This window comes from Homo sapiens, chromosome 6, assembly GCF_000001405.40.
Source record: "Homo sapiens chromosome 6, GRCh38.p14 Primary Assembly".
In the NCBI taxonomy this organism is placed as follows: Eukaryota; Metazoa; Chordata; class Mammalia; order Primates; family Hominidae; genus Homo; species Homo sapiens.
The window spans coordinates 126,037,080-126,052,957 of NC_000006.12; the positions used below are offsets into that span (position 1 = coordinate 126,037,080).

The following is a 15,878-nucleotide window of genomic DNA, read 5'->3' on the forward strand; positions in this document are numbered from 1 at the left end:
GTCCATCACCTATATTCTCAGAGCTCCTCCTGCTTCTTGAGTTGGGGAAGAAGATAGCTCTTTTGGAGAAAACCTCATTACATTGTAATTAAGGGTGCAGTCTTTAGAGTCAAACAGATCTGTGTTCAAAGCCTAGCTCTGCCACTTACCAGGTGTATTATCTTGGACCTGTACTCTTAAGTAATTCCTCATCTGTAAAGTGGTACTAATCGTTTACTTATTTCTTAGAGCTGACAAGTTTTGTTAGGTCGTACATATAAAGCATTTAGTATTGTTTTTGGTCCATACAAAATAACCAGCAAATGTTACCTTTCATTTGGTATCTTTAGTTGTATACCTACACATTGACTCTCTAAAATTTATCTTTTTGGGGATTGTATGTAGACTGAAGTTATTAATAGTAACCTTTAACATGTTTTCATGTGTTTGCAGGAATTTGGAACTGTAATATACTTGGGTGCCATAAAATTTCAGTAGCTACCTATTTCTCTTTGATGAATCAGGAAATCTGGGCATGTTTAATTTTTGATAATCTGGGTTTTTGGTGTGATTTTAAAAATATATGTGGCAAAAACAGTTTCTGAATAAACAAATGTGCCAACATTATTTTGGCTAAACCTGGATTTTTTTTATTAATGCTAGGTATGATGGAAAAATGAAGGTACTCATTTTATACAGGCAAAAATATTTTTGCAAAAATGAAAAAATATTTTGAGGATTGTTATATTCCAGATATATTTTTATATTTTTAGCTACCATTTTGATACTGAAATCTGGATAAAAAATTAGGCTTCATGTTTTCCATTTAAGTCTCCATACCTGTCCTCAAAAATCACATTAATCCAGGTGTAATTGAATATGAATTTATAGAAGCACATGGGAAATGAAATTTTATGTCTAATTAGATATTTTTCACAGTTGGATGAGAAGCCAGTGTTTCAGTGTTTCCTGCCAGGAACCTCAATTTTCTAAGCCAAAATATGTTTGACATTAACCCAGGTTGCTATTACCATTAGACGTCAGTCTGAGCAGTAGTCCTTACTTGTCTGTGAAGTCTACAAGTATGGAAATCTCTTGTTTAGCCTGTATCTTCATCTACTATGTTCACTTAAAGTTTCCACGAATTGTTTATTTCATTAACTGAATATAGAAATACCCCCAGACAATTTTGTGTGTCTGTATGACCTCACACAAATGCATTATTTTGTTGGTTCACATGTTTTTCTTGAGTAGAAGCTTCCTTGTTTAGTACTTTTTATCCATAGGCACAGATGACTTCAGTGTGTGCTGAACTGGGAATCAGAAGAAAGTTATAGCCTTGACTCTGTTACTTGGAACCACTCTCTTTGCCCTGAGGCAAAAAAAAAAAAAAAAGAAAAAAAGAAATTTGTCCTCTGTACAGAGGTCTTTTGTGAGGCTTTAATGAGGTAAATGAAAACACTTTGGATATCCAAGCATGATAAGGATGTAAAGTGATGGTATATTTCTAATTCAAGTAGTGAAGGAAGATAAATATGCACTAGAGAGTGAGATTTTGCTTAAGATTTTGCTTAAGGTAAACAACTGCTTTGGTATAAGCTAACTAAAGAAATAATTTTTACATTTTGTATTTTCCAACCAAACAGAATCGGGACCAGTATTCACATCTGCTAAGTGATCATTTTCTGCCATACCAAGGTCATAATTCCTTCCGTGAGAAATATTTTAGTGGGGTAACAAAAAGAATTGCCAAGGAAGAAAAATCCACCCAGGAATGAAAATTAAGATTTTGACAATGAAGAAAGAATAAGAATTTGATTTAAAAAGACATCTGGATGTGAACTTTCATGTATGATCCAGAAAATAGGTACGGTTTTAAAATATTTTATATAGAAAAGCTACAAAGTAAATTGAGCAATGCTTTTAAAGTTATCTTTGTTTTATAGACTTTTTTGTTGTATGTATTACAGTCTTTATAATCTTATTTAATGTATATTTGTACTTTCAAGTACTGATGGAGATAGACTCAAAACAGTTATTTTTTTACAATTAATCTACAAAGGGAATTAATATTGTTGACTTTTAAAACATCTGCTGGATATATTATATGCAATTAATAGTAGTTAAGAATTTATTCATTTGGTAGATATGTTTATTTGGTTTTTGGTTGTCATCGATTTACATTGCCACTAATAAACCATATTGAGAATTTCTAAAATTGTGTCATATCTAGTTGTCTTCATGGGGGATGTGATGAGGGAAATAAATTTTTATTTAGAAATTCCAGACAAGGAAGGAATAACAATGCTAATAGTGATGATAAGAAAGGCTAAGACCTGACAACCTAGAAAGATTCCAAACTCCTTAAGGCCTGTCTACATTTGAAGCTCTTTTGTACCTTGGATTTGCTCCTGCATTCCTAACCGTTGACTGTTGCTCAAGTTAACTACCCACAATTTTTGGTTTAGAAAGTAACGGATAGTTAAAAGCAGTAACAGCAACACAAATGCTTGATGGTTCCTTAATGGTATTAAGCCTAATCAGTGCCCTTTGAAATAGAAGCTATATTTTTCTTGAAGGAGAAACTTTGCTGAGTCCACATTGTGTCCATCATGAAAATATCTTGCTTGAAAACCACTATACCCATTAATTCAGGATGCTAATAGCTTTCTTGCCTTTGGTGGTCAAATGTACCTCAGCAGGGTGGCAGTAAATGGATCCTCTCTCTCTAACCAGAGCCTGTATTTATTATTATTATTATTTTAGTGTTACTGCTGACTTTTATGGACTCAGAGTATTAATGTGCACAGCTTAGGACCTCTAAAAGTATAGTGCTGCCCAAGCAAAGAGACATCAGGCTATCTGCTTTGCTCTCTTTTTCTTGTCTTGCAGTTCAGGATTTCAGCAGCAGATCTCAAACATTTCACTGATTATTTTGTTTGGGTTTCTGGATGTGATTTGTGGTACACTGGGGGGAAATCTAAAAGTATTCAAGGATGATTTATTTTCAGTTTTTCTGTTTAAACCATCTTATTTAAAATGTTTCGAGGTTATATGGGAGGTGAGTTTGAAACTTTGTCACTGACTCAATTTGGAATATGAGATTTTAGCTTAGCCCCTTTTTTGGGTGGTCACAAAGATTAGTCCAAATAGTTCTGGAAAGTTGGAATATTAATTTTAGTCACATTATCCTTAAAAATTATCCAACACTTAAAAAATATTTGAAATTATTTGTTATTACTACTAATTGAGGTCTTCTAAACTATGATTCCTATTATGAGGCTTATTTTTGTATTAATCAGGAAGTTCAGTTTCCCATTCCTGAAATGTCACTAGGCTCAGAGTATAATTTGTTTAGTTGGTACTTATAAATAAAAAAGAAACCTGATTACTTCCAAACTATTTTGGTTTTAGAGCATAGGTCTCAAGCCCTCTTATTTTAACGAGAGAGTTTTATTTTTTGGCGTTAGGATCTTATTACTTTCGGCGTAAGTTACAGCAGATCCTTTCCAGGATTGCTCTGGTTTTCTATGTTACCACTGTATTCCTCATGTGCTTACAGCAACAATATCACCTAGCAAATTGCCTGCATTTCAGAAAGTCCTGTAGTTTGGATTTACAGTATAATCTGTGAAGGAATTCTAGGTGGTCTGTGGACTGGCCTATTTTAATGTTTATAATATGACAAAATGTATAATTTTGTTTCTGGCATATATTAAATATCCATAAACTCCAGACGGTTACCTTGGTGGTGTTCATCAGAGGTGCCTCCTTCCCGTCTATTCTGGTGAGTACTTTTTGCTCTAATAGCTGGGAGGAAATAGTGGAGTAGGTGGTCTTTGTGTTTAGCCAAAGTGGCCAGCAGATTTTGAAAAGTTTAAAATCTGCTACAATTTTCTCAGCCACTTCCTGCCCAGGGTGACCCAGCTTTGGGCCAGCTTGCCACTGATTTCCTTATGACTAACTCTTTAAATACAAGGATTGAGCAATAAAACATTTTCAAACTGTTTAAGCTCTGGGAGGTAAGTCAGTATTGCCACTATTTCCTTGTTGAGAAAACTCACTCAAATATTGAGATTCCCTACATATTTAAGAAGGATGGCAATTATAAGTAAAAACAAAACAAAAAACAACAACAACAACCTTATTTCAAGTTTTGTAGGGGAAAGTAGAGTATGTGTTAACATCACGGGAGGCATTGTAGTGGGTGTGTTTATTTTATTGGGTTAAAATTGTGCTTTAAAAGTTTGAGACATGGAAATAGCTTTTAAGGTAATATGTTTTATACTCGTAAATTAAAGAAGCAGGGATTTGACTTTTTTTCAACACCAGGAAATTAGACGTTGAGGTTGTGTTATATAGATGCCAATATAAGCAACTCTGGCTCTTGAATAAAAGTTCTTAGTCGTTTGGTGTTAGAAGAACTGCTGACATCTTATGCTGGAAATATTATCAAATATTGCTTATCCAAAGAGATATGGAATAAAACATAATGTTTCTCTGTTGAAAACTGAAGGTGACTTTTTTGGGAAATGATCTTATTTTCCATCCCATTGTAATAAATCTCCCTTGAAAAAGCACAGTGGAACTAGGCTCATGTTAATAGTTCTAACAGGAAAAAAATTCTTTGTAGATAAAGCAAGGCATAAATAAACTCATTAATGCATTGCAGTGGTGGAAATGGAGGTGAGTGTTGCCAAGGCAATTGATGACCTTATTGTTGACCTGCTTGACCAAAAGAGAATAAATTATTCCAAAATAAGAACCTTGGCTCTTTTTGCTGGGCTATGGTTCTGTTCCATTTTAAAGTTATTTAGAAAACTAAACACTTGCAAGAATCTTTGTTCTTAGAAGGACTGTATTCATAGAATAAGTGAAATCTACTTTGATTTCCGACTTACCCACTCCCATTTTTCTCAGATATTTATCAAGTAATGTGGTTTGTAATCCAAACAAAAAAAAGTGCCTTAATCCAGAACATACACATGGAGACAATAACAGCAGACTGATGGTGTTTGTACTTTACTAAAACATTGAGATCTTCTCTAAAACAGAGTGGTTTGAGAACATAGTGTCTAGAGTGTAAAGAATTATAATGGAATGGTAAACATACTGTGATTCTATCTGGTCATAGAATCATAGAGACCAGCACATTCCTGTCTATCCTTTGGGGTGAAAAACTAGGGAACCTGACCCCTTTCCCTTAAAAGAGATCTGCCTTACGATGTTCATATGTTTCACTGTGTGGGATAAGCAAGTTGACATTTAGACATAACTGAGGCCAACCTGGAATTTGGCTCTTATCCCTTCCTTTATAAGCCCTTGTAGACAGGGCTCTTTGGGGGATGGAGGTTTAATTGTAATGGCAGTCTTTTAAGCCTGGGTCATGGAACAAAATAGGGCTTAATAGATGAATGTTAAGATAAGTCAGCTTCCCTTATGTAACTGCTAGCCCTATTTCTTGTGATATTAAGATGTGCTTAGTATATTTTTGTTTTAAAATTTGGAAGTTCTTACTAAGATAATCATGTTGCAGTCATGCCAAACTGAATTGCCTAAAAAGGAACCTGTTTTGACCTCTATGACTTTAAAAATCTCTCCTTTAATCAAGCTTCCCTGGCTCTCTCCTGAGGATTTATCGGAAGAACTCTATTTTGGCTAACATGCAGCAGTGAAGATTAGCTGGGCTTATGTGTGAAGTTAGTCAAATTAAAAGAAAAGGAAAAAGGCTGAGGAGAAAATTAAAATTGAAAATGTAAATGGTACTTATGATATTGGAGTTGTGCTTTGATGGACTGCCAAAGTAATGTGTTGTAAGTTGGTGAAGTGGGTCAATATGGGCTGAGTTGTTATTGATGAGTTTTAAAAATCTTTAAGAGTCCCTTAAAATTTGTGTATAAATCTTGGAGTATCTCACCACAAGTTGGAGTGACTTCTGCACAAAGAGCCAAATTGCCTTTGCATTTTTCCATTTTTCTTTTTTCTTTTTTTATTTTATTTTATTATTATTATACTTTAAGTTTTAGGGTACATGTGCATAATGTGCAGGTTAGTTACATATGTATACATGTGCCATGCTGGTGTGCTGCACCCATTAACTCATCATTTAGCATTAGGTATATCTCCTAATGCTATCCCTCCCCCCTCCCCCCACCCCACAACAGTCCCCAGAGTGTGATGTTCCCCTTCCTGTGTCCATGTGTTCTCATTGTTCAATTCCCACCTATGAGTGAGAACATGCGGTGTTTTGTTTTTTGTTCTTGCGATAGTTTACTGAGAATGATGATTTCCAATTTCATCCATGTCCCTACAAAGGACATGAACTCATCATTTTTTATGGCTGCATAGTATTCCATGGTGTATATGTGCCACATTTTCTTAGTCCAGTCTATCATTGTTGGACATTTGGGTTGGTTCCAAGTCTTTGCTATTGTGAATAGTGCCGCAATAAACATACGTGTGCATGTGTCTTTATAGCAGCATGATTTATAGTCCTTTGGGTATATACCCAGTAATGGGATGGCTGGGTCAAATGGTATTTCTAGTTCTAGATCCCTGAGGAATTGCCACACTGACTTCTACAATGGTTGAACTAGTTTACAGTCCCACCAACAGTGTAAAACTGTTCCTATTTCTCCACATCCTCTCCAGCACCTGTTGTTTCCTGACTTTTTAATGATTGCCATTCTAACTGGTGTGAGATGGTATCTCATTGTGGTTTTGATTTGCATTTCTCTGATGGCCAGTGATGGTGAGCATTTTTTCATGTGTCTTTTGGCTGCATAAATGTCTTCTTTTGAGAAGTGTCTGTTCATATCCTTTGCCCACTTTTTGATGGGGTCGTTTGTTTTTTTCTTGTAAATTTGTTGGAGTTCATTGTAGATTCTGGATATTAGCCCTTTGTCAGATGAGTAGGTTGTGAAAATTTTCTCCCATTCTGTAGGTTGCCTGTTCACTCTGATGGTAGTTTCTTTTGCTGTGCAGAAGCTCTTTAGTTTAATTAGATCCCATTTGTCAATTTTGTCTTTTGTTGCCATTGCTTTTGGTGTTTTAGACATGAAGTCCTTGCCCATGCCTATGTCCTGAATGGTAATGCCTAGGTTTTCTTCTAGGGTTTTTATGGTTTTAGGTCTAACGTTTAAGTCTTTAATCCATCTTGAATTAATTTTTGTATAAAGTGTAAGGAAGGGATCCAGTTTCAGCTTTCTCCGTATGGCTAGCCAGTTTTCCCAGCACCATTTGTTAAATAGGGAATCCTTTCCCCATTGCTTGTTTTTCTCAGGTTTGTCAAAGATCAGATAGCTGTAGATATGCGGCATTATTTCTGAGGGCTCTGTTCTGTTCCGTCGATCTATATCTCTGTTTTGGTACCAGTACCATGCTGTTTTGGTTACTGTAGCCTTGTAGTATAGTTTGAAGTCAGGTAGCATGATGCCTCCATTTTTCTACATACCAATTGAGAAGCAATTCTCCATAGATCTCTTGCATTTCTATATGTCTTTCTAAGAAAGGCACAGACTTCTTGTGTCCTATACTGTGTTTTTGAGGATATTTGTATAGTGAACAATCTTGGAAGATATAGAGTCTTTCTCTCCCCTGTCTCCCCCTCGCTTTTAACTTCTGGAGCAGAGGTTTAAGTCTGTGTACAACCTTGGAAGATAGTGTCTTCCTTTCAGAGTAAAGGCATGCTTACTGCCCATTATAAAAGATTGGGTTCCCTAAGCTTAATATTTCTTCTTTCTAATACAACCTACTGTAAGTGCAGGCACCCATCTGGGCCTAATCTGGTCACTCTTCTGGGACTTGGGTATAAGGAAGAACTGATTGTTAAAATGCTGATTATCAGGCCAGGCACAGTGGCTCATGCCTGTAATCCCAGCATTTTGGGAGGCTGAGGCAGGTGGATCACCTGAGGTCAGGAGTTTGAGATCAGCCTGGCCAACATGGTGAAACCCCATCTCTACTAAAAATACAAAAATTACCCAGGCATGGTATGGTGCACGCCTATAATCCCAGCTACTCTGGAGGCTGAGACATGAGAATTGCTTGAACCTGGGAGGTGGAGATTGCAGTGAGCTGAGATTACACCACTGCACTCCAGCCTGGGTGACAGAGCGAGACTCCATCTCAAAAAAAAAAAAAAATTGCAGATTGTCATGCCCTGCTTACTGTACAATAAGTAATAAAGTTCTTTGTATGTGACCTAGGAGTATGTCTTTTACCAGTTTCAATGAATATGTCAGGCGCTTGCAATAGAGCAAAATCTCAGACCCTTCATGGTTCTTGATGGTTTTTGATCATGAGGATGGGATGCTGACAGACACATAGCTTTCTGGAAGAGGAGGAGGGCTTTGGGGCTCATTAACAGGATTCATAGGAAGTCCTTAGTAATTGTTAGCAAGCATGTTGACCAAATTTCATGATCAACCTGATGATACATGGTCCTCAACTTCATTGCCTGTTAATGAGGAGCAAATGGGGCAGTGGTTGCAGGCCAAGTATCAGAAAGTAGGTCCAGTGATAGTTACCCAAATGGTTCCTTGTTTTTTGCTAACCCTTTTCTGGGCGTTTGGAGAGGTGTTTCCTCACCAGTTTGCCAGTTAGCTTCAAGTCCACCCCACTATAACAATTAGTACTAAGATATATCCTGAGTGGGCTGAAGGGTGTACCTTCTTAGACAATAGGTGAATCATTAGAACTTTGGCTGTTTTGCTTGGGACATATGGTGGCAGGGCACATCATGGTTGTTAAGGAACATGGGCAACAAGTGGGCTATTTTATGGCTCAGCTCCTCCTGGCAGTCTGTCATGCCAGACTTAATATCCATTCAGAGAAAATAATAAAGGATTGTTTTTTTTCCAGTGGGTCTTGGTTGCTTTCAGAGAGCATTGGCATCTCAGGGATATATCCCTGAGACAAACTCCTGTGGGAAGGGATAGAAGAGGCATTAACTAGTATTTGGTCTTTTACTGCCCTGAATTGAGTTTACCGTTCTGATGAAGGCGACCTACTGAAGAATGAGAAACTGACCCAGAGAATTCTAGATAAATTCTTGGAGTTGGCCCCCCAACCTTGGAAAAGTGCTCTACCTTTTATGTTAAAACCGGGCCAGAACTTAAGAGATATTTCTTGGTACTGGTGAAGATGCTGTCAATTAAGATGAACTCCTAAAAAAAGAAAAATGTCAATGTAAGTCAAGCTAGAGTCAGACAAAGGACACAAACCCAGTGGCTTCAGTCTGAAGACCATGTGTCCATGGTTACTGAGTCAAAGGGTCCCCAATGCCAAAACATTGTCGGATTTTGCTTTGTTTTGGGGACCAAAATCATTGGAATTTCATTTATTTGAGCTCCAAGCAGCTGCTATACTAAATACTAAAAGTAGATGTAAAGCCTTGCATACTGGCATGGAGCCTCCCACTCCAACCCCATGTTCCCTTGTTTCTCCCTCCACCTTTAACCTGACCTCAGTGGCTTTAAGGAGAAAGATGATTAGGGATGGGGCCCAGGACTCAGCCACCACATGTACCCATCTGAATATGCTGGGGGACTTTATAGGAGAAAGGGGCACAAACTTGTATGGCTGTGTTGAATACAGGTGCCCAGTTCACCATCTTACACAGTCCTGTGGGGGAAGGGTCCACTCGGTTTCAACTGATAGGGTTTGGGCAAGGTTCATAATAGGAAAGGAAAGTTAACATGACCACAGGTCAACTTGTGGGTATGACCTGTTGAACCAATTTAATGCACCGTTGTTCTTTTTGCATCTGAATATATAGCAGAAAAATGACATGTTATATGCTTGAACTTTTCTGCCCTATAAGTGCTAGAGCCCAACCAGAAAGAGCCCCATTTAGATAGGTACTAGTGTCTTTAAGGCTACAGAAACCTAATGATACCTTTGAGCTATAGAATATCCTGTAACTGATTACTTTGCTGATTGGAGACTCTGGTAAAAGGAGATACCCTTCATCCAGAGGTGCCCTTGGAGTTTTGGATGCCTGGACTCCTTGACATGGCTGGCCAGATACACGGCTTCTGAAAAACAACTAAGTATTAGCTACTACTGATATGGACAGGAGGCAGGGAAATACTGGGTAGAAGAGGGCAGCGCCCTGACAAAGGCCCCACCCTCAAGCCTGAAAACCCACGGCCCTAATTGGGAACAGGCATTCCTGTTTTTGTGCCCAAATGTTGCCTTTTGGCCTGCCATGCCCCCTTATCCTGTACCCATATAAACCCTAAACCCCAGGCTCCACAAGCAGAAGAGTGGCAGAGAAGGAGAGAAGAGAAGGAGCATCTGAACATCAAGAGGAGTTTGGCTGGAGATGGTTGGAGAGGAGATTGGTTGCAGGATGGCTGAACTGCAGGGGAAGATCATCTTCCCACTCCATCCCCTTTACAGCTCCCCATCCATCCCGCTGAGAGCCACCTCTACCACTCAGTTAAAGCCCCGTATTCACCATCCTTCAAGTTTGTGTGTGACCTGATTCTTCCTGCATGCTGGACAAGGACCCGGGTATCAAGAGGGCAAGGTGTAAAAGGCTGTCACCCTGACTCTCCACTGAGCTGGTTTAACACTTAGCTGTCCACAGACGGCAACTGCTAAAAGACCATTAATCGTAACACAGTCCTAGATGCTACCGTGGGGCTGGAGCCCAAAAGCGCTCGCCCAGCTCCTGCATCTGCCTGTCTGCATGCTCCCCTTCCCGTAAGGGGTTTGAGCACACCCCTGTCACAAGTTCCACGAAGGAGTCAGGCAACTCTCCTGTTTCACTACTGGGCTTCTGTCAAAACTGAACACTTAAGCCAGCTAGCCTGCTGTTCCCTTTTTGGAGTAGATCAAACAGACCTCATGACTACTAAAGTGGAAAGGGCCCAACTAGCCTTGCTTGTCATATAAAATCATTATATGTAATAATCATTAATGCAACAGACCTACCCTCAATGACATCTTGGATTTACATGAAAAAGTGGCAGCTAATCCTTTGGGGGAAAACTTTATCATCCATTCTGCTGCCTGAAACAAAGCCCCTGGCTCAGCACCCTTGTTTCATAAAGGTTACATATAGGGGCTTTAAAAATACATTTAGGTGGCATTTAGGAGATTCCTCAAAATGCCTGTTGCTTCTTTCACTGATAGATTGGCTAAGCTGAAAACCAGTGCCATTTCAATGGACTGCAATGGCTGTTCAACCTCAGTGCCAGGTAAGCAGAACTGAAAATGGAAGTAGTTGGTCTGGTCATTAAGTAGAATTCAAGGCCATTCTCAAAGCTCTGACCAATACCCTCCTTGAGGAGCCTTGTTATGTTTTTACTGACTGTTAGGTTGTTGCTAAAGACCTGTGGTTTGATCCACCACTTGGAAAAGTAGAGATTTGCAGATTGAAGACATCCTTCCTTAGGGGCTTCAAACAGTGGAAACAAATTGTGGCGGCTGATAGAACTGTCGGGGTCACTCATATTGACATCCATTTTAAAATCTCATTCTCTGATGAGACCAGCTAGAATCACTCGGTTAGCTAGCACCATCCAGATTGCCATCATTGCTGCCTGGATCCATTATTGTACTGGACATGGCAACACATCCGCTGTTATAGACAGGACACAAGTAAAGTACTTGATGTTTCTGATGCAAAGGCTACCATTTGGTGCTAGACTTGTGACTCCTGCCAAAAGTCGACCTTGTTGCCTCTTGGTAAGGACGAACACACTGCATGGGGTGTTGTCTCCACTACTCCTGGCAGATTGATTACCTCAGACCTTCCTCCACCCCTCTTTAGAGCTATTGGTTGTTCATGAATACTATTGACACTTTCTCAGGTTACAGGCTTGCTGTTCCAGTGCAATCATTTGACTCCAGCCACACCACTTTGGCCCTTGAAACTAATCTGTGTCATGTGTTTGGCTTTCTGGACCATTTGGTATGACAATGATACGCCTTTTATTGCTAAAGCCACTCAATCATGGGCTACAGTCAAGACATTTGACAGACTTTCCATACTTCCTGCCATCCACAGGCATCTGGAATCTATGAGCTTTGAAATTTGCTCTACATTTGTTCTATATTTTCTCTGGCAGCCCTTTACCAAACCTTCACAGAAAGACTCAGCACATTGCTCCAAAGTTACCTCTCAACAGGGCAGTCTTCTGTTCTTTGTGGGATGCATAAGTCTTTTAATTGATGGTTTTAACTCAGACAATTGGTGATTAATAGTTTGAGTCTCAGGCCAAGAAGATTTTCCAAAACCAGCACCTGAGAGAGTTGTAACAATCGGTTGAAAAGGACCACTTTACCTAGTATGCTTTATTATTGATGTTGAAGCAGGCAAATAAATATTCTAGTTGACGTATTATCTTCAATTTTCTTTCTCTTTACATTTTTCTATAGATTCCAAGAGTGTTAATTTTTTTTTCTATTTTAATGTCAATTGTTGTTCCTCTGTATTAGTTGTATGTGTTACTCTATTTTTCCTGTAATACATGTTCTAAGGCTTGTCTATTGGTGATTGGTTGATGTCTATGGGAGTTCCATGCATGGATTTAAATAATGACAAAGGAATTTATAGTCTGGTTGGGGTGATGAGACCTACACATAAAAAGATAGTTAACACAAAGTAGAATGAATTAAGTACACAGGAGAAGCCTCAATGGAGTTTGGAAGGATGAGAATTTTCTTCAGAGTAGAATATTTAATAAAGATTTCACAGAAGATGTGGTGCTTAAGCCAGAACATTACAAATTTTTTAAAAATTCAGTTAAGTGGAGAGAGGAAAGAAGCACATTTCAGATTGGGGGTGTTATGTGAATAGTGTGAGGAAAGTTCAGATGTGAGAATGTGTGAGTCAAGTTCAGAAGATGATAGGTACTAACTAGACTTAACTAGAGGGAAGGGTTCATGTGTATGATGGTGGGAAAGGACTTTGAAAAAGGTAGGCTGGGGTCATGTTGCAAAAGACCTTGAATGTCAGTCTAAAGAATTTGTATTGGACTGGGCATGGTGGCTCATGCCTGTAATCCCAGCACTTTGGGAGGTGGAGGTGAGCACATCACTTGAGGCCAGGAGTTCGGGACTAGCCTGGCTAACATGATGAAACACCATCTCTACTAAAAAATACAAAAATTAGCTGGGCGTGGTGGCACACACCTGTAATCCCAGCTGCTTGGGAGGCTGAGGCAGGAGAATCGCTTGAATCTGGGAGGCAGAGGTTGCAGTGAGCCAAGATTGTGCCACTGCACTCCAGCCTGGACAACAGAGCAAGACTTCATCTCAAAAAAAAAAAAAAAAAAAATAGACAATAGAAAGTTGTCATGGGACTAAAGATTTGAGAATAGGGACTGATTTCAGAAAGGTGATTTGGGGTGTCAGTTGCAGTGGCTCACGCCTGTATTCTCAGAGCTTTGAGAGGCTGAGGCCGGAGGATCACTTGGGGCCAGGATTACGAGACCAGCGTGGGCAACATAGTGAGGCCCTGTAATTACAAAAATAAAATGGGCCAGGTGTAGTGGCACATGCCTGTAGTGCTAGCTACTCAGGAGGCTGAGGTGGGAAGATCACTTGAGCCCAGGAGTTCAAGGTTACAGGAAACTGTGATTATGCCACTGCACTCCAGTGTGGGTGACACAGTGAGATGTGGTCTCAAAAAAAAAAAAAGTGATTTTGGCAATGGAGTGTAGGATGTGTTTGAGACAGGCCAGGAGGTAAATAAACAGTCCATGTGAGAATCTGAACCAACAGTGGGAATAGACAATAGAGACAGATGGAAGACATTTTACTCATCTATTCATTCATTCAACAAATATTTTGTCCTCATTGGTATGCTAGGCACTACAGGGTCAAAGATTAGAAATGATAATCCCTACCTGGAAGAAGCTTGGAACCTTCAGTAGTTGTAGAGATAAATAATCCTAGCAAGGCATCAAGTGCAGTGAGATACAGGGGGCCCTATGGGAACATGCAGGCAAGGAATCCAGCCTGCCCTGGGGCTGGGGCGTGGGAGATGGTTCCAAGAGGAGGTGTTTCCTGAATTGCCTTTTGAAGTTTTTATATTGGGTTTAATAACTGTATTGTGAGATATATTATTTATACCAAAGAGTGCATAAAGCATAAGTACAGTTTAATGAATAATTACACAGGGACATCCCTACAGCACCATCCCTGAAGTGAGTTTGGAAGGGTAGGTAGTAGTTAGCCAGGTTAAGCTGGGGAAAGATCCGGGAGGAGGTAATGATGTGTGAGGCAGAGGACATAGCAAAGGAATAGAGAGCATGGTATGTAGGGAAACTGCATGCAGTTCATGGTCACTGAAGTGTGAACTGGGGATCAACAATATAAAGTCAGAGAGTAAGGCAGGAAGGGGTTTGCATTTCTGCTTGATTACCTTGGGCATACTAACCCACTCCCCCTACCCTGGATTTTCACTAGGGAAGCCATATTATCAGACTTGGTCAGGCCATCACTCTGATGATAGTGGTTTGTCATGGAGGTAGATATGAATAGAAGCTGGAATGCTGATCAGAAGATTGATGCAGTCATCCAGGTTAGAGAACAGTGGTAGTAGGGATTCAATGGAGAAATATTTAGAAGGTGAGTGAGCAGGCAGGTCCTGGTAGTTGGGAACCAGATGAGGAGTCAGGGATGATATCTGAGATTCCAGCTAGGGCACTGAGTGGGTACAAACTGGAATAGATGATAATGGGAAAAGGATGAGTTTAGGTTTGGACATCCTGAACAAGAGGAGCCTATGGTACAAGCATGAAGAACTGCATAGCAGGCTTTTGAGTATCCAAGAGCAAAGCCAGGCAATGATTACTTATGCAAGAAGCAGAAGATCCCTGTATGGGACAAAAAACAAAACAAAACAAACAGAAAACCACTGAGTCAAGACACATTGTACAGCTCCAAGATTCCTTCTGTGCCGTTTTCCCCCAGCATGATATATATATTTGGCAAAGAGAATTGACATGACCCAATACTCTTGAGACTGGATCAGGCCATTCCAAGTTTATTACAAGAAATTTATACTAGAATTACTTAATGAGATAAAATTTCTCCACTGTGCCACTTGAAGCTGCGAGAATAACACTGGCTTTGGGTGATGTGCTTCTGCCCAAACTGGATGGGTGGACGTGCTCTATTTGCCGTATAAGTTAGTGAGCTACATTGTAGAGTTAGGATGTAAAGAAATTGATAAGCTGTTGTTAGTTGTCTCTAAGAAAAACCTGCTAAAGAAATACGCAGGCTGCCGCTGTTTGGGCTCCAGACGCAGAAAAAGAAAAACCCAAAGGGTTTTCCTTTCCTCTCATCCTTTAAAATTAAAAATACTTCCCCTTCCTCTCTCTTATTAAGTAACTACATAATACCTTTCAGGCAGCAACATAAAAATTACAGAGTAGGCCAGAATATGGGGAAATTTTTAATTAAATCTGGGGTTTCATTTGTTTTTTAATTTATTAAAAAATGCTTGGCCAAAAAAAAATCCCAATTTCCCTCTGCCCCCCTTTTTATATATCCTTATGCATTTGGCAGAGCTCATGACAATGTCTTTCCACCTGTGGACCGGCCAAAAGCCTTTTCTGAAGCTCCTACTAATTTGGATTAAACTGACTGGTTAAAAGCTTCACACAGAAATGCTGCCAGGAAAGTCATGAGGTCTGATGACATTTAAGTCTACAGTCTTATCTTTTGGACCAAAATAAATGAACAAAGATCTAGTTTTTGATCTTGCATTTGTTAGCTTGTTTTCTCTCTTAGTTTTGGAGAAACAGATCAAGAACCTGAAAACAGGAGAACCATGTTTTTGCCTCCAGTCTGTCTTTCTGAACCCAAAGAGAAGCTCTTTCATGATCCTAAGTGGGTTCCTAAGGAAACAAGAAGGGCAGGACTGGTGCTGTGTGATG

The 15,878-nt window shown here is 39.5% G+C and overlaps 1 protein-coding gene across 68 annotated transcripts in view; it reads left to right on the forward strand.

The window, feature by feature from the left end:
• Nucleotides 1-15,878, forward strand: part of TRMT11 (tRNA methyltransferase 11) — a 285,804-nt gene that overhangs the window by 50,540 nt on the left and 219,386 nt on the right. For 25 of the 68 annotated variants that reach the window (NR_146802.2, NR_146801.2, NR_146796.2 and 22 more), the window contains one exon: nt 1,626-2,197. Coding sequence is in view for 19 of the 68 variants with exons in the window: in NM_001350593.2 (NP_001337522.1) it covers nt 1,626-1,757 (132 nt within the window). In the remaining 49 variants the exon portion in view is untranslated. Of the gene's footprint in view, nt 1-1,625; nt 2,198-3,715; nt 3,767-11,121; nt 11,187-15,878 lie in introns of those variants that run through there. The other 43 variants (XR_007059327.1, XR_007059304.1, XR_007059310.1 and 40 more) reach the window with 3 other exon arrangements.